The sequence below is a fragment of the Homo sapiens genome, chromosome 14 (assembly GCF_000001405.40).
Source record: "Homo sapiens chromosome 14, GRCh38.p14 Primary Assembly".
Taxonomy (NCBI): domain Eukaryota; kingdom Metazoa; phylum Chordata; class Mammalia; order Primates; family Hominidae; genus Homo; species Homo sapiens.
The window spans coordinates 21,791,482-21,809,421 of record NC_000014.9 but is presented as its reverse complement, the minus strand read 5'-3'; the positions used below and the strand labels follow the sequence as shown (position 1 = coordinate 21,809,421).

General features: G+C 39.5%; 1 gene segment (V, D, J or C) and 1 further gene, besides 5 other annotated features; both read right to left on the bottom strand.

Annotated features, from left to right (window-relative positions):
* Window positions 1–17,940, bottom strand: part of TRA (T cell receptor alpha locus) — a 930,229-nt gene that overhangs the window by 742,711 nt on the left and 169,578 nt on the right.
* Window positions 11,497–11,505: a recombination feature (nonamer).
* Window positions 11,506–11,528: a recombination feature (spacer).
* TRAV8-1 (T cell receptor alpha variable 8-1) lies at window positions 11,536–12,003 on the bottom strand. The segment is given in 2 exon segments: window positions 11,536–11,830; window positions 11,958–12,003. Coding segments are annotated over 2 exon segments (341 nt in total), but the record flags the coding sequence as incomplete, so codon positions are not given.
* Window positions 11,820–11,830: a sequence feature (TRAV8-1 leader sequence).
* Window positions 11,958–12,003: a sequence feature (TRAV8-1 leader sequence).
* Window positions 12,391–13,590: an enhancer, noted in NCBI's record as "BRD4-independent group 4 enhancer chr14:22264004-22265203 (GRCh37/hg19 assembly coordinates)". NCBI's record gives its function as "activates an origin of replication core promoter dependent on BRD2, P300/CBP, MED14 and CDK7 cofactors, and independent of BRD4, by STARR-seq in HCT116 cells {active_cell/tissue: HCT116}" and the evidence as "EXISTENCE:reporter gene assay evidence [ECO:0000049][PMID:35650434]".

The following is a 17,940-nucleotide window of genomic DNA, read 5'->3' as shown; positions in this document are numbered from 1 at the left end:
ACGGCATCTTAAATGGCAGAAACAGGAGCAAGAGAGAGAGGGCAGGAAGGTGCCACACACTTTTAAACAACCAGATCTCACAAGAACTCACTCACTATTTCAAGAACAGAACCAAGGGAATGGTGTTAAACCATTCATGAATGGCCCACCCCAGTAATCCAACCGCCTCCCACCAGGCCCCACCTGCAACACTGGGAATTACAATTGAACATGAGATTTGGGTGGGGACACAGGTCCAAGCCATATCACCATGATTTCAAAAGGAGATGAATACCATAGAAGAACTGTAGCAGTAGATTTGAGTGAAATACGGTAGAACTGTGTAATCAATGAAAAAATGCTTAAGCAAATTCCCAGCTGATACTAGATTTATCCAAATGGTCTGACTGCAAGCCTCAGAAGCTCCGCTTCAAGGACTTGAATTTATACAGATCTGTTGTCAGTCGAGAGGCAGTCCGGCAAACAGAAATGCTGGGCGAGGTGTCAGCGCCACAGCAACGGAAAGTGATTGGCTCATGGTAATAAGAATTTACCCACAACAGTGTGGGTTTGAAAAGGAAAGCTTTATTAGAACCAGTGCTGCAGAGGAGTGCAGCAGGGCGCTTCAGCAAGAGCGGACTGAGCAAGCCACCGTGGATTTTTCCTTAGGAGCATTTATGAACCTTAAAGCAGGAGCTTAAGGGTAATTTGGACCATATTAGCCACCTAGGTCAGGATAAATGATTACATTTGTAGACATTTTGGTGCTTTGATGTCAGCAAGGGCTGCACAATAAGTTTCAACATACATGCATTCCAGAGATGTATAGAAATTCTAGTTACTTATACATTTTTGGGAAAGAAGCCCGGTACTAGATGCCTGCTTTTGATAATAGGGACGTCGATTAATAATTACTTCTGAATTCCTCAGACAAGGAGTTTTGCCTCTGGATGATCTGCTTGATGGCCACGAGGTGGTCCTCGGTCTCCTCATAAAACAATCCAAATATTTTCAGTAGAAAGACATTTAGAGTTCAGGCAGACAATGTGGTGAGAAGCAGCGCACTGAGAGGCAGGTGAGCTGGGGCCCTGCAAACCTCCTTCTCTCCCCACTTCAGTGAGCTGATGGCGGCAGCCTCTCTGGGCCCAGACCTCGCTGGGCTATAAAGCACTTTAGAACATCTAGAAATCCTGCTGCGCCTTGGCGAAGCCCTCACCGAGCTGCGGAGGACACCGTGCCTTTGGGAGGAAATGGATGTCGCAGAGGAAGAAGAATGGCGGCCGCCAGAAGGCGCTGAGGGCTGCAGTAGTTTGCAGAACCCAAGAAGGTGGGCCTAGAGACACAAGCTCAGGAACTTCATTATGCCATGGAGTTGCACAGATGCGGGTCCCGGGCTGACCACTTTGTCCCAGTTAGACAAGACCTTACCTCCTCCCAAAAATGCCAGAAATGATGGACAAAGGCCTAAAAGGGCCTAGAAGGTGAGCAGAGCCCCCACAAGGACAGGTGGAGTGGTTAGCAGGCCATTGCGTGGTTGCCGTTTGTTCTACCAGACCTTGATACCCAAAGAGAGAAATCACATGCCACATTTGGTGGACTGGAAATGCCCCCCACCATTTGGGAGGATTTACTGGCCTTTATAGAAGGCCCAGGTAAATAATATGAAAAAGCTGCTCTCAACTTTTCCCTCAACCTTTTAAAAGAAAATTTTTGCTCTACCTAGCCATTCTAGATTTTAAAAGGTTGCTGACGTATAATAGTTAGAAAATCACACGTCAGCCGAGCGCGGTGGCTCACACCTGTAATCCCAGCCCTTTGGGAGGCAGAGGCGGGTAGATCACCTGAGGTCCAGAGTTCGAGACCAGCCTGACCAACATGGGGAAACCCCATCTCTACTAAAAATACAAAATTAGCCGAGCGAGGTGGCACATGCTTGTAATCCCAGGAGAATCGCTTGAACCCGGGAGGCGGAGGTTGCAGTGAACCGAGATGGCGCCATTGCACTTCAGCCTGAGCAACAAGAGTGAAAGCCCATCTCAAAAAAATAAAATAAAATAAAGAAAAAAGAAAATCACGTCTTGTAAATGCCCATTTGTTCTTTTAAAAAATGGTAGAAAGCAAACGCCTTCTGGAAATGACTCTTTGAAACGAAAGTTGTTAGACGAGCTGTAGAAGTGACTCCAGGAGCAACACACCACCACGTTCATTCAGTGGGTTAGAGGCCATGGAGCAGAAGGCAGTGAGAATGAAGAGAAGGTTCTTTTCCAGACTGGTCATGCTTAGGAGACATTTTCATATTATAACCACTGCTTTATGTGCGCATTTTATTCCTCACTACTGTATATATTGTTGACAATGCTAAGAATTTTTTTGAAATATCTTGTCTTTCTTTTTATTTTTATTTATGTATTTTTTACTGTAAGTTCTGGGATACATGTGCAGAATGTACAGGTTTGTTACATAGGTATACATGTGCCATGGTGGTTTGCTGCACCTATCAACCCGTCATCTACATTAGGTATTTCTCCTAATGCTATCCCTCCCCCACTCCCCCTCCCCCGACAGGCCCTGGTGTATGATATTCCCCTCCCTGTGTCCATGTGTTCTCATTGTTCAACTCCCACTTATGAGTGAGAACATGCAGTGTTTGGATTTCTATTCCTGTGTTAGTTTGCTGAGAATGATGGTTTCCAGCTTCATCCATGTCCCTGCAAAGGACATGAACTTATCCTTTTTTCTGGCTGCATGGTATTCCATGGTGTATATGTGCCACATTTTCTTCATCCAGTCTATCATTGATGGGCATTTGGGTTGGTTCCAAGTCATTGCTATTGTGAACAGTGCTGCAATAAACATATGTGTGCATGTGTCTTTATAGCAGAATGATTTCTAATCCTTTGGGTATATACCCAGTAATGGGATTGCTGGATCAAATGGTATTGGTGGTTCTAGATCGAATCACCACACCATCTTCCACAATGGTTGAACTAATTTACACTCCCACCAACAGTGTAAAAGCGTTCCTATTTCTCCACATCCTCTCCAGCATCTGTTGTTTCCTGACTTTTTAATGATGGCCATTCTACCTTGCGTGAGATGGTATCTCATTGTGGTTTTGATTTGCATTTCTCTAATGACCAGTGATGATTAGCTTTTTTTTTCATGTTTGTTGGCTGCATAAATGTCTTCTTTTGAGATATGCCTGTTCATACCCTTCGCCCACTTTTTGATGAGGTTGTTTGCCTTTTTCTTGTAAATTTGTTTAAGTTCTTTGTAGATTCTGGATATTAGCCCTTTGTCAGATGGGTAGATTGCAAAGGTTTTCTCCCATTCTGTAGGTTGCCTGTTCACTCTGGTGATAGTTTCTTTTGCTATGCAGAAGCTCTTTAGTTTAATTAGATCCCATTTGTCAATTTTGGCTTTTGTTGCCATTGCGTTTTGTGTTTTAATTGTGAAGTCTTTGTCCATGCCTATGTCCTGAATGGTATTGCCTAGGTCTTCTTCTAGGGTTTTTATGGTTTTAGGTATTATGTTTAAGTCTTTAATCCATCTTGAGTTAATTTTTGTATAAGGTGTAAGGAAGGGGTTCAGTTTCAGTTTTCTGCATGTGGCCAGCCAGTTTTCCCAACACCATTTATTAAATCAGGAATCCTTTCCCCATTTCTTGTTTTTCTCAGGTTTGTCAAAGATCAGATGGTTGTAGATGTGTGGCGTTATTTCTGAGGCCTCTGCTCTGTATAGATCTAGTTTTTTTTGTTTTTTGGTGTGTTTTTTTTGGGGGGGTTGTTTGTTTGTTTTTGTTTTGAGACAGAGTCTCGCTCTTGTAGCCCAGGCTAGAGTGCAATGGAATGATTTCAGCTCACTGCAACCACCACCTCCTGGGTTCAAGCGATTCTCCTGCCTGAGCTTCCCAAGCAGCTGGGATTACAGGCACCCACCACCATGCCCGGCTAATTGTTTTGGTTTTTTTGTAGTTGTTTGTTTGTTTGTTTAGAAGGAGTCTCTCTCTGTCACCTAGACTGGAGTGCAGTGGTGTGCTGGGATTACAGGCGTGAGCCACCACGCCTGCCCTATCTTGCCTTTCTTGATGTTCTAAAGTGCTTCATAGCTGTCAAAAGTAGAGGTAGAAAATAACAAATTTTTTAAATATCTGTTTCTTAAAATTCATATGAAATGTTGACTGGGGGCTGGAGAGGGGAATGGCCAAACCACCTCTTGAGTAATACACATTATGTTTGTGTGCTGGCTCCTGGGAGGAGAAGGAAGTGTAAAGAGTTCTGTGGCAATGTGCTTACAATGAGGCAACATTAGCCATTGTCTCTTACGTCTGTGCATTTTGTTTTCCTTATCTGTGTATATAGTGTATATAAAGGACAAATTAATCCTAATTTATATCTAGTCTTTCTAGATGCTAAAGAGGTTACCAGTGTATGACAAAGGTATAGAGTTAGTAAACTAACTCTATCACATTATAGCATTAGTAGTTAATTCAATGCTACTCTGTGTATAACGGAAAACTTAAGTTCTTATATGAAAATCTAGTCTTTCTAGATATTTCAAAGTGTACATAACATATGTTAAAGTATGTACATTAAGACAGCTAAAGTGACACTCTTTGAGTATTTTTTGTGATTTCACAGGACTAGCTGCATTTGGGGAATGGAACTGTTAAACTTGATGTCTTAGAGAGGTTGCTGACTGTTCATTGTATGCTGGGAGATAGGGAGAAAAGGAAGTATGCAGAGAGAAGCTTTGTGCCTGTAAGTTAGATTAGTTCAGATCGTCTAACCATTGTTCTGTATGTGGTTTTTGTTTTTTGTTTGTTTGTTTGTTTGTTTTTTGTTTTTTGAGACGGAGTCTTGCTCTATCGCCCAGGCTGGAGTGCACTGGAGCGATCTCGGCTCACTGCAATCTCCGCCTCCCGGGTTCACGCCATTCTCCTGCCTCAGCCTCTCTGAGTAGCTGGGACTACAGGCGCCCACCACTACGCCTCGCTAATTTTTGTATTTTTAGTGGAGACGGGGTTTCACCGTGTTAGCCAGGATGGTCTCAATCTCCTGACCTTGTGATCCGCCTGCCTCGGCCTCCCAAAGTGCTGGGATTACAGGCGTGAGCCACCGCACCCGGCCCTGTATGTGTTTTTGTTAATATTGCTGTGTATTAAAAGATAAACAAGTCCTAATGCCCAAAGTATGTTAAAGGTAGAGGTAGTAAAATAACGCCTTTCTAAAAGTCCTTTTGTTCATTTTTAAGAAGGCCTATCTACTGGCAGTGACCTTTGTTAATCCTTCTTTTGGAGCTGGATGTAATCAGGTACTTAGTCACTAGAATGGTGAAAGAAGAGGAAGGATGGAGGGAAGGCCTCTTTGCTAATATCTCCATACTTAGGTGACTTTTTTGGATTTAACCATAGATTTATATATGCATTTTCTGTAACCTGCCTGTGTTTATTGTGGATAAAGTTCAGTCTTTATTTTGCAACATCTAAGCTTTATAGATGCCCTGAGGTGACAACGTATGAGAAAAAGTAGAGCTGGTGGATTAGCTACTTTGTAAATGTATTTTTTATGCTTGATAGAAAAGCTGCACCTTGGACATGGAATTGTTGTTAAACCACCTCTGAGCAGTGTATGTATCAGGATGTGTTCAGTAGATTGGCAGCTGAAGGGCAGAAGGAAGTATAAAGGGACAGGTGTAAGCAGATATGTTTATATTTACATTTTGATAATAGCTATTGATGTATGTGCATCTCTTTTGGCTGTACTATAGGAATACACTAAGTAATGCAATGAAAACATACCTTCTTGCTAATATTTAATAGTACAGATCAGAAAAAGAATTCTCTTAGAAACATTATACTTAGTATACTCTGTTGCTTTACATCTCTTTTTAAATTGACCATTAAAGGGAATGTGGTATTTTAATTGTAACTCTGACGGTACTTTTAACCTAGAGGCCTGTTTCCATTTTTGTCTTCTTTGAAATTTTTGTCCCCAAGAAAGGCAGGATTACTTTTTTTCTAACAGATTGAGTTGATGTGGTATATTCCTTGTTATCAAAATGCTCATATAGCCTTGGGATTTTGAACTGGTAAATATTCATGATGTGTGAAAAAACATCATATATACTGTATGATCTCAATCACACATAAAATTGGATGTTGTCTATATACATACACAGGACCCAGAAGGACACATCAAACTATAAAGTGCTTGTGATGGTGAATGACTTTGTTCTTTGCTTATTGTGTTTCTCAGCTTTCTATAATGCACATATTAACTTTCTAAAGTAAAAGTTATTTTTAAAACTCTTTTAAAAAGTAAGATTTAATACACAAAATTAGACATACAACCATTGGAGGGGCTAATGAACAAAGATGAGAAAGACTGATTACAGGAAATTTTGAGGTGTGATGCATCATCCAGCTGCCTGTGACACCAAAATGAGTGATTCTTAGGAAGAAACGCAGAAGTCAAACAAAGTCCTCACAGCTGGTAATCTGAGCTGCCTGCATACAGTCCCTACAGAAGAATAATGGTTTCTCTTTCTTTTCTACTTGCCTGATATTATTCCCAAATGCCTCTCATTTGTAGAATTAAAACTAAGTGAATGAAAGGGATTGTGTGAATTGTAGTTTGGGTTTCTTCCCTAGCAAAGCAAGGGAATATATTAAAGGGGACGAGAAAGAAGCCCAGTTGACAATGTGCAACATAGCACACTGGTGAACTAAGTAGCACACCAGTGAACTTGGCTCTTGGCTTTCTATGTTGGATTGTTCTATTGTTGATGTAGCTGCACTGGAAAATACAGTGCCCAGAATCCCCTTCTGAATACAAAAGAGCATTTACACAAGATTTGAAAGGCAGATGGGAAGCAGCAGCCATTGTCTTCCAAAGATCACCATTGAATACAGATGTTGAAATATGCAGTGGTCTTAGCTGGTTCCATTTTGTTATTGCTCTTCCCTGATGGCACTTGACAATAAATAGCCAGCTCCATAGCACATAAAATTACCATTATCACAATACTTCTCAAATGCTAAGTATATCACATAAGCTACTGCAACAACTTACACATGAATCCCATGCCAATTCACCACAATTAATAATTGTGATGCTATGATCTTTTAGCATCTCTATTACCACTGCACCTACTGCTAATAATGGGATCCTTGTTCCCTTCTGGCCATGAATAATTTAATTCCAAAATCTCATTCTATGTATTTGTTCTCTATGACCACTTCTGTACCAGATCTCTTATATTGGGTTCTTCCAGAAGCAAATCTTGAAAAAATGACTATACGTACTTTACTTGAGAAATGCAGGAAACACAGATAGAGAGGGCAGGATGTTATATAAGAAATAATAAGTGTTTGCAAGGGTGTAAAGAGACAGGAATTCTTCTGTGCTACTAATGAGGGAAAAATAGGTAAGAATATTTCAAGAGCAATTCGGCAATTGCAAGTACGTTGTTAAAGATGTGAATCATATAACCCAGCAAATGCCACTTCCAGGTGTATAACATAAAACATTCTATATCTATGTATAAGGAAACATAATTGTATTCCTTGTAGAATTTTTATAATAAAAGATCAGAAACACTCATTGAATAAAGGATTAACAAAATCTTTTCTCCTTCCACATGAAAAAAATTAGATTAACTTTCTAATCTCTATTTTTCTGGAAATCCAATAAAGGTAGAACGTCAGCTGGATTACCAAGTAAGATGGTTATGGTAAAAATGATCCTGACTGATAAACTGCATCTGAACTGTGAATGGACTGTGAATACTTTTTAAGATGTCATAGTTCTGGAGCAGTGACTTTTATAACTGTTACAGGAGATACCGGTTTCTATTTGGGGTATGGGGTTTCTAAGTCTGGATGGCCTGTTCGGTCTTATTCCCTCGCACCTTAGCACTTGACGTGGGAGGAGGGGAGGGAGGCATTGCAAAAAGAGTAATCTGTGAACTGTATAGACAGCTGAAAGGACTCCTCTTGAAAACACTCAGGGTATGAGGGAAACCAATACTTACGTGGCCTATTGAGCTTTGTAAATGTACAATCCAATGTGCATCAAAAGGGACATATAGTATATCCATAAAATGGAATAGTATGTATCAGCTAAAAGAAATGAAATATACTACATATATAAATTTTTCTATATCTGAAAAATATTTGAGGGAAGAAATCAAGTTTCACAATTACACATACAATTGGATTACATTCATGTAAATTTTAAAAACACAAAACACAGCACCACAGATTGTTTAAAAAATCTATGTTTGGAAATATGAAAACATGGAGTTGAGAAAAAAGTTCATAATAGGTTTATTTTGAGAGAGGGATGAAGGCATTAAAACTGAGGAAAAAAATAAAAGAGATGGCAATTTTGTCTGTAATGTTTTATTTATTTTTTAAAATTTGAAACTTTACATTTATGTATTTATTGATATCAAGAGATAGAAATAATATAATATTGTTTAAAATGTTACAGTCTCCTCATATGGCAAATATAATTGTGTTAGAAGTTAAATATTTCTACCTTCTCCTTAATATCTATATTATATAAAGTTATTTACATTTATAAAACAATCATATCAATAGAACTACTCTGACATCTCAAACAAGGTTGTTGGTGTGAGAGCAGAAAATGCATTTCCAGGTGCTTGAGGTTCTTGGTGCCAGCAGTTATATTTCCTCGGTACTGAGCTTCAGTTTGGAATTGAAAGAAATTGCCATTTGTCCTTCTCATATGTAGTGTATAAAGTACCTGCTTGCAGTCATTCTGGAACACAGGACTTAGCTGTGTTTTTAAGTCTTATGAAGATCATCAGTCTCTTGGGGACAGTAGAGAATATAATCTGAAGAACAAGACTTTAAATAAGTATATATTTCTTATCAATAATTTTATATATCTTACTTCATTTCCAGAAATCCCCCAAAGGTATATACCACAAATAGCCATAACACTATGACCTGAAAAATAATGCTGATCCCTACTGGTGTCCCCTTTGGCTTAGGTAAATCACTGGAAACAATCCACTATTATTATCTATATCTTCAAATTCCTATTCCTCTTACTCATGACAGCATCAGGAGGTACACAACAAAAAAGCCCAACCCTCCTCCTCCTCTTTCTCTTTACGTTTCTTCAAGTCATTATTAACCTTAAAGGCTTCAAGTAAGAAGCTTAAAAAGTGTTTGTACATTTTTTTTCTTCCTAACCAGGAGAAGTCATATATCTATCACATGCCCTTCGACCTTTTTATTCCCATTACAATACTTAATTAGAATGTCTTCAGGGGCCAGACATTGCTAAATTTTGCACACACTTAATTATGGCAGTGTTAAACAGATAAGAATTCGTTTCTAATATTCCAACTGTACAACCATATGAAACTGGAATAAGAGTAAAAACTAAAATAACATCATTTGGAAGAATTGGCAAAAGTTACTATTTCATCAATTTTGAAGATTTATAATGTGGATTTGCAGAATTTAAGAATCAAAAGAATAAGAATTGGTCTTTATAAGTGGGAAAAACAAAAAATAAATAGGACTTTCCAAGTAGACCTAGCATTTTGTTCCTCCTTAATAGTTCTTTACGGCCAGGCGCGGTGGCTTATGCCTGTAATCCCAACACTTTGGGAAGCCAAGGCGGGTGGATCACCTGAGGTCAGGAATTTGAGACCATCCTGACCAACATGGAGAAACCCCTTCTCTATTAAAAATACAAAAAAATAGCCAGGCAAGGTGGCACATGACTGTAATTGCAGCTACTTGGGAGGCTGAGGCAGGAGAATCGCTTGAACCTGGGAGGCGGAGGTTGCAGTGAGCCACGATCGCACCATTGCACTCCAGCCTCAGCAACGAGAGCAAAACTCTGTCTCAAAAAAAAAATAGTTCTGTAAAAACTACTAAGGAATTTGAGTTATTCACTCTCCTTTCTTCAGTTTTCCTGACAAGGTTACTAGACTGTACATGAGCATGCCATTGTTCTAAGCCATCCAGCATCCTAATAAATCTCCTCCTTCCTAAATGAAGCACTTAAAAAGGAGAGAAAATAATCAGCACAGAGTGCTGACTCCAGGGAAACTACTTTAAAATTACCAAGTTGAAAGAACAGTAAGTATGCAAGAAGATATGCTTACAAAAGGAAGTTCACCTTTTGTTCTGGATATTGAAAGATAAAATGGTGAATGAAAAGCAAAACTCTGTGCCATGTCACAATTTCCATACTCAACCATTTAAAATATAGCAACTTCACACTCACCTGGCAAGTCCCTGAGCATCTCTGTACTGTGGAATAAGAACATCATGGCTTCAAAAAAGAATGAGATCCTGTCATTTGTAATATAAACCAAAAACAAAATTCTCAGGCCTCCAACCATCTGAATGGACCCCTTCTCTCAGCCAAGGGCATTCCGAAGTTAACCTGAAAAAATAGTTCGGGCCACAATGGGAAGGGGTGATTGGACATGCCTCATTTATACCCCCCTCCCTTTTGGATTTCCCTTTTGGAATTTAAGGGCTGACTGGCATTAACATCAACACATATTTTCAGTCTGATAAAAACATTTACAATCTATTCTCTCTGAAGCCTGCTATGTGGAGGCTTCATCTGTATGATAAAACTTTGGCCTCCACAACCCCTTATTATACCCCAGATATTGCTTTCTATTGATAAACAATTGCCAATCAGAAAATTTTTTAATCTACCTATGATCTGGAAGCTCCCCTTCAAGTTGTACTGCCATTCCAGATCAAACCACTGTAAATCTTACATGTATTGATTGATGTATTATGTTTCCCTAAACTGTATATAAGCAACCTGTTCCCCAGCTACCTTGGGCACATGTTGTCAGGACCTCCTGAGGCTGTGTCACAGATATGTTGTTAACCTTGGGAAATAAACTTTCTAAATTGATTGAGACCCGTCTCACATGCTTTTGGGTTAGAGCAACAGCATGGATGGAACTGGAGATCATTACACTAAGTGAAATAAGCCAGGCAAGAAAGACAAACATTGCATGTTCTCACTTATCTGTGGGATTTAAAAATCAAAACAATCGAACTCATAGTGATAGAGAGTAGAAGATAAGGATGGTTTCCAGAGGCTGGGAACGATAGTGGGAGGGTCGGGGAGAGGAGGGATGTTTAACAGGTACAAAAAAATAGAAAGAATAAATAAGACCTAGTATTTGATAGCACAACAGGGTAGCTACAGTCAATAATAATTTAATTGTACATTTTTAAATAACTAAAAGTGTATAATTGGGTTGTTTGTAACACAAAGGATAAATGTTTCAGGGGATGGATACCCCATTTTACGTGATGTCATTGTTATGCATTGAATGCCTGTATCAAAATATCTCATGTACTCCATAAACATATTCACCTACTATGTATCCATAAAAATTAAAAATAAATTTTTTTAAAAATACTAACATCATGGTTTCTACTGTGACAGAATCCAAAATCTTTCAGAGGCAGTTATTCTCCCTAGCACCTTAGGAAGTTTGTGTTCAGCTCCCTTTGCAGTCCCAGACACTGTGGCATTCACGGCACAGAAGTACTCAGCTGTGTCACTCCACTGCACAGAGGGTTTCCTCAGATTAAAGGAGAATTTACTCTTTATAAATTCAGCCTCAAAGCCCTTGATGCCTTTAACCAGTGGATCCCCTGAAAAGTACTTGAGGAGAAGCTGAAGGTGTTGACCAGGGTACTGGACATACCAGAAGAGATTAACAGTTCCACCATAGGAATAGTTGCATCCCAACTCCAGTGAGGCTGCTTCAGAGAGAATTACGTGGTGGTTATGCTGGCTCACAGACTGGGCTCTGGCATCTCCTGAAAAAATCAATGTTGTATCAGTGAAAATAGTGCAGACTTGTCTATGAAAAGTATTTCTACTAAGATTTGAATCAGAAAACAGTTACTTCTGTGGAACTAGAGACCATAATAGAATGTTACTCACTCAGGGCAAAAATCATCCCCAGCACTGGTATGAGCAACAGGAGCATGGCTGAGCTGTGGAAACACTGCAGGCGTCTCTTTGGAAATTCTCCTCGGGGCCAGTAGGAAAGTGGCTGGAACCCAGGTCTTGAGAATAGCGAGCGTGAGGAAGGTTGGGCTAGGCAAGTCTCTTGTTTTGGTAAGAATACAAAATCTGCTGAGATAATCTTAAGTGCTTTTCAATCTTTGATTCTCTCCATTTGTCCCATCTTCAAAGAACTCCAGTGACGGTGCTTCAGTAAGCCAGCTGCAGGAAGAAGGGGCTGAGCAGAAAGTGTTTGTTGATCATCATTGGAAACAGCCATCTGTCCCTTGTGCAACGTCACCCTCTGGAGGCCAGATTCAGGACTGAGGATACAGACTCCCCACAAGAAGTGAACCTGTGCTTTCCTTGTTTGGAGACATGTCAAAAACTTCCAGTGAACATTTCTTTCTTCCCTAATCTGTACTGTGTTGCCCTCTGTAGTATATTACATTAATCCTAGCCTCAATGAAAAATGAGGACTGTAAAAGAGAGGAGGAATTTACAGAGAAAAAGATCTCACAATGAATCTAGCAGATTTTGGAGTCCCTCAGTATCTTTGTATAAAAGCTGTGGAGACATCCTTTAAGCAAAAATAGTTAGATCAACTCTTCTGACTGAGCTTTAAATGGTCTTGTTGCAGTGAGCATCAGGTTGAGAGGAGGTTGCGGTAGGATGTGGAGATACCTACTTTGGTAAAATTAAAAATAAGATCAGATGTACAAAATAAAAGTCTAGTGTTATGCGCATCTGTGAAGAGACCACCAAACAGGTTTTGTGTGAGCAATAAAGCTTTTTAATCACCTGGGTGCAGGCAGACTAAGTCCTAAAAAGGAGTCAGCAAAGGGAGATGGGGTGGGGCAGTTTTATAGGATTTGGGTAGGTAGTGGAAAATTACAGTTAAAGGGGGTTTTCTCTTGCGGGCAGGGGCGGGGGTCACAAGGTGTTCTGGTGGGGAACTCCTGAGACTCATTGTCCAGGAGAAGGAATGTCACAAGTTCAATTGATCAGTTAGGGTGGGGCAGGAACAAATCACTATAGTGGAATGTCATCAGTTAAGGCAGGAACTGACTATTTCACTTCTTTTGTGGTGCTTCAGTTGCTCCAGGCCATCTGGATGTATACGTGCAGGTCACAGGGGTTATGATGGCTTAGCTTAGGCTCAGAGGCCTGACACCTAGAACATGAGCCCTCATCTAGGAAAAGAAAGTAGGATTATCTTTGTCTTCTTCAAGCAGAATTACAAAGATACAGTGGCTTTAGATCAACAAAAATTATAATATGATATTCAGATAAGAGAGTAAAATAACATTGCTATTTGCTGGGAACATAACCAGAGTATTACACCCAATTCTGGGTACTACATCATCAAGACATCATTGATAGACTTTAGTATCTACAGAAAAAACTGAGAGGATTGATGAAGGCATTGCAAAGTAAAATATAAATAATTTCTGAAGGAACTAGGGACAGAGTAAAAATACATTTGCATTTACCCTGGAATCCAAGAAGGAGTACCACCAGCAGACCAGAGCTAAGAAAAACATCTAAAAGAAAAAAAGATATGTGAGCTGTTTGATCATGAAATCTGACATAGATAGGCAACCAGTAGTTTTACATAAATGAGTCAAGTCTTGTAAAACAAGATAGTGTTGATTGTGGCAATAGCAAGGCTGTCCTTCTGAAAGAAGCCTGTTCTTCTGAAAGAGGCCTTTTCTTCCCTCCCACTTCAGCCTGTAGACCCTGGGGCTAAACGAGTAACTGTCACACCAGGAGATCAATTTTAGGGAAAATGAGAAGAGAGAAACACGCTGCCTTTCCTCAGGGCAATAGGGACCTTTTTCTAAAGTTAGAAAGCATCTTTTCTGGGACTGTGATTGTTTCTAGCAACAGGAAATCAAATCTGTCCTTGGGATTCTCATTGCCTTGCTTCTTTTTGCCTGTAGATTGTCTCTCACTTATAAGAAGTCCATGAATAATGCTTCTAATTCCAGATATCAGATGACCATACCTGCTCACTGCCTATCTTTCCAAAATTCCCACTGATAAAAGAATAAAAATGTAAAGGAGATGATGACTTAACTACAGAAGTGGAAGTCATGGGGAAAAAACACAAATATGAGAGACTACAATATAAATTGTAATGAGTAACCCTTCAATCTGGCATTGGTGCACTGGTGGAGAGTGGGGAGGAGTTTGAGGGGTTCAAGAGTGAGGAGGTTGAAAGCAGCATCAAACCCTTGTTCACATATTCTAAATAAAAAGCTGCAAATTGACATACGGTTGCTATAACAAGTTATCACAAACTTGATGTCTTAACAAGACAAAGTTATTTTTACAGCTCTGTGGGTTAGAAGTTCAACATGAGTCTCTTTTGAGTTAAAATCAAGTTATCAGCATTATAACTTTCTGAAGCCTCTAGGAGTGAGTCTGTTTTCCAACTTCTAGAGGCTGCACATATTTCTTGGTCTGCAACCCCTCCCTCCATCTTCAAAGCCAGCAATGTTTCATCTCTTTGATCATTCAACCATAGTCACGTCTCCCTCTGACCACAGCAGGGAATGTTTCTCCAATTTTAAAAACCCATGTGATTAGACTGAGTCCACCTGGATGATCCAGGCTAATTTTCCTATCTCAAGGTCCTTAGCTAAATCACATCTTCAAGGAAACCTATTGGAAAACAGACCTACATAAACAATGACACAGGAAATACCTGTAGCTGTATAGTCCTTCCTTCTTATAATATGAAGGGACAGCAGGGAGGACTAGGCCTCAGTATAAAGCAAAAAATATAAATATCAAGAAAAGAATCAGAAACCCTGATGCAAAGGGAAACAAAATTCTAAGAATAAAAGAGAACGTTCAAAAATATCTAGTTACATGTAACCTAAAAGAATCAACAACAAAAATTCAACAACCACAAAGAGCTCTTTAAAAACTAAACTATTGTTGCCAAAACTTTATAAAAATCAGCAGATGGTCTGAAAAACAAAATTGAGAAAATCTCTCAGGACACAGAAGAAAAAGAGTCAAAAATGCACTGAAATATACTACTACATAGAAAATCAATCTTGGAGATAAAACAAGCAAATAATATTTGTCCTAGAAAAAAGAACCAGAAGAGAGAGATTTACTAAAGAAGTGATAGAACAAATTTTCCCACAACTGAAGGACATTGCATATTCAGATGAAAATAGCCCGCAAAGTGTGATTATCACTGAATTAAAAAGACTTACACTTAAACGTATTCTAGCAAAACTAGAACACCAAGGATAAGTTGGGAAAAAATTCCAGATGTGTATGGAGATAAAAGTAAAAAAATCTCCAATTGGGGTAACCCACTGGAATTAGATTTCTCATCAGCATCAACAAATATTAGATTCTGATGAAAAATTATTTGGAAAACTAGAATTTTAAACTGAATTGGGCACAGGAGCTGATGGACTTAACACTAGAAATATAGAATTTCACTTAATCCCCCTGTTTTGCCTATGGCACCTCATTTCATCCTCAGATATCTCTAGTATTCTCTAATCCAGAGACTGTCTAGTTCAAAATAATCAGATTCAACCTTTAATCTTCCACCAGATTTGAGGTAGCTTGCAGCCTGTGGTACAGTGTGGCAAAGGACATAGGAGGGTTACACTGGGTTCCAACTGCTCCTTCTTGAGGCTAGTCTTTCCATTAATCTTCCTATTTCTTTCCCATCTACCCTCCACACCTGATGCCTTTTTCCCCATCAAAATTGATGCTTCTAATTCTTGAGCATTTCCAGAATGCTGCAGAATGCACAGGACTGCTGTCTCTCAGCTTTCCCCTCTACAGGCACAGGTTTTCTCTCTTGGTTAAACCAGTTTGTCACCTCTCCATTTGCTTTCAACGCCTTCAACGTTATGTTGATCTCTCTTGTGCTGTCACCATCTTTTCAGTTCACTTTGTGTTTGTATGTTCATACAGGCTTTGAACTTCTTTATTAGCATTTCACTAGGGCCTCAGGAGGGAGCAGAGAATAAACATGAATATTTAATCAACCATGTTCAACCAAAAATCTGGAACTTTTTAAAATTGTACAGTTTTTCTCTCTTTCAAGTTTTGCATTTACCCATGCACATGTAATATTTTATTAAAAGAGAATTTTAAAAATGTAAACTAAGAAGGCAGAACTGGTAAAAAAAAAAAAAAGGTAGAAAATAAAATTAGAGAGGGGTTATTACTTCAGCTCATTCATAAGACTCAGAGAGAGGGTCAGTGATAAAAGAAAATGTTAGAAAAAACTTAGGAAGGGAAACAGAGAAAAGGGGAAGATTGAGGATAAGGACCCTTCGCTGATAATAACATTTTTAGGGACTTTTACAGTTGCTTCACTTCAGTCCCTGAGCTATTGAGACACCATGAATGGCTCTATCATCCTCCTGTCTTAACAAGCACCATTCTCCTTGAAAATAAAATTCATTTTTATGGATCAAAATGAATATTCATTAAATGCCTGTACTAGACAAGAAAAGTTACTCCAATATTTACAGAGACCTCAGGTATATCTGCAATGCAATTCAGAGAGTCGTACTCTTTCTCCTCCATTTTCTTCCCCTACCCACATGGCTACCTTAAACTTCTTTCTCCTTGAGGAGAAGGAAAGGCTCACAAGGAGTTGAGGAAGCTATAGCATTTCCCCCATCCACCATTCCTGAGCTATACTGCCATGAAGAATTTGAGCTTGAGTGTTCTCCTTCATCAGGCTCTACGGCACCACCCATCTGTCTCAATTTAGGATTTGCTTTACTAAGCCAGCTAACCAATATATAGTGAGAAGGAGAGAAGGGGGAAAGGAATGTGTGTAGGATTTGGACGTGAGCCACTTCTTCATGTCTTCTTGAGCCACAAACAAATTATGTGCTTGTTTTCACTTTTCTGAGGGCACCATTTCATGTCTGCTATTTGATTTGTAACAAAACAAACTATGACAAATGTCACTCTCAGTCCATTCTTTGTTTACATGTGGTACTCTCTTTTTCCTCCTTCTTCCCTTCTATTTTCTCCTTTTTTAACAACTAGTTGCGTTGGGGTTCTTCCTTATGTGCTCTAGGAAATAACCCTCCCTCTTCCAGGGAGACATTATGCAGATGCAACCTTACATATTTCATGTTGCATCTCTAAAGAGAAAACAATATACTATACATCACTATTTCTTTAGGTGCCCTTGGTCAAAGCCACAGGGCTGAACTTAGTAAGAAGAAGACAGAGCTTACTTCACTGATCTCTGGAAAAGGATGTCAGACCCTGTTTCTTCTTTCTACAAGGAGAGTTATGCTCAGGCCATATTCACTTCCCGTTCTTCTGCTGTGTCCTTAGAGTCGATGTAGGTGATCTTTACATCTGCTAGAGTGTCTGAAGGTCAAACCACAGTACGTTTTCCTTAAACCAGCAAGAGTCATGCAGCAGCTCCTCAGCAGCAAGGTCCTGCCTGGGCCACTGAACCTTGTCTCAGCTCGCCTGCAGCCCCACTCGGTGTGTTTGGCTCACAGCACAGCATGAAGCAGCCACATCTGACACTTAAGCTCAAAGTTTCTCCCACTGAAAGGTGTTTTTTTTTTCTTCGTGATATGTGACTTCAAAGTCTTTGTTGCTTCCATTCTCATTTTCCTTTGCAGTTCTCAAGAGGAGCTGCAGACTTTCACCAGGATATTGAACATAACCAGAAAAGGGTAGGTTCACCATGGTGGCATAGGAAGAGTTTACAATAGGGAGAGCTCCTTCTGAGAAGGCCACTAACTTTCTATCCAGGTCCCTGAGTCTCTACTGCTTCCTCCTCAGAAATAAAAAGCTGCATATCACCCTGAGTTTGAATTGGACAAAATTGTGGTTATTATACTGACATAACAAATTTTAAAAATCCAAATTTTAACAGGCATATTATTTTCCCCAA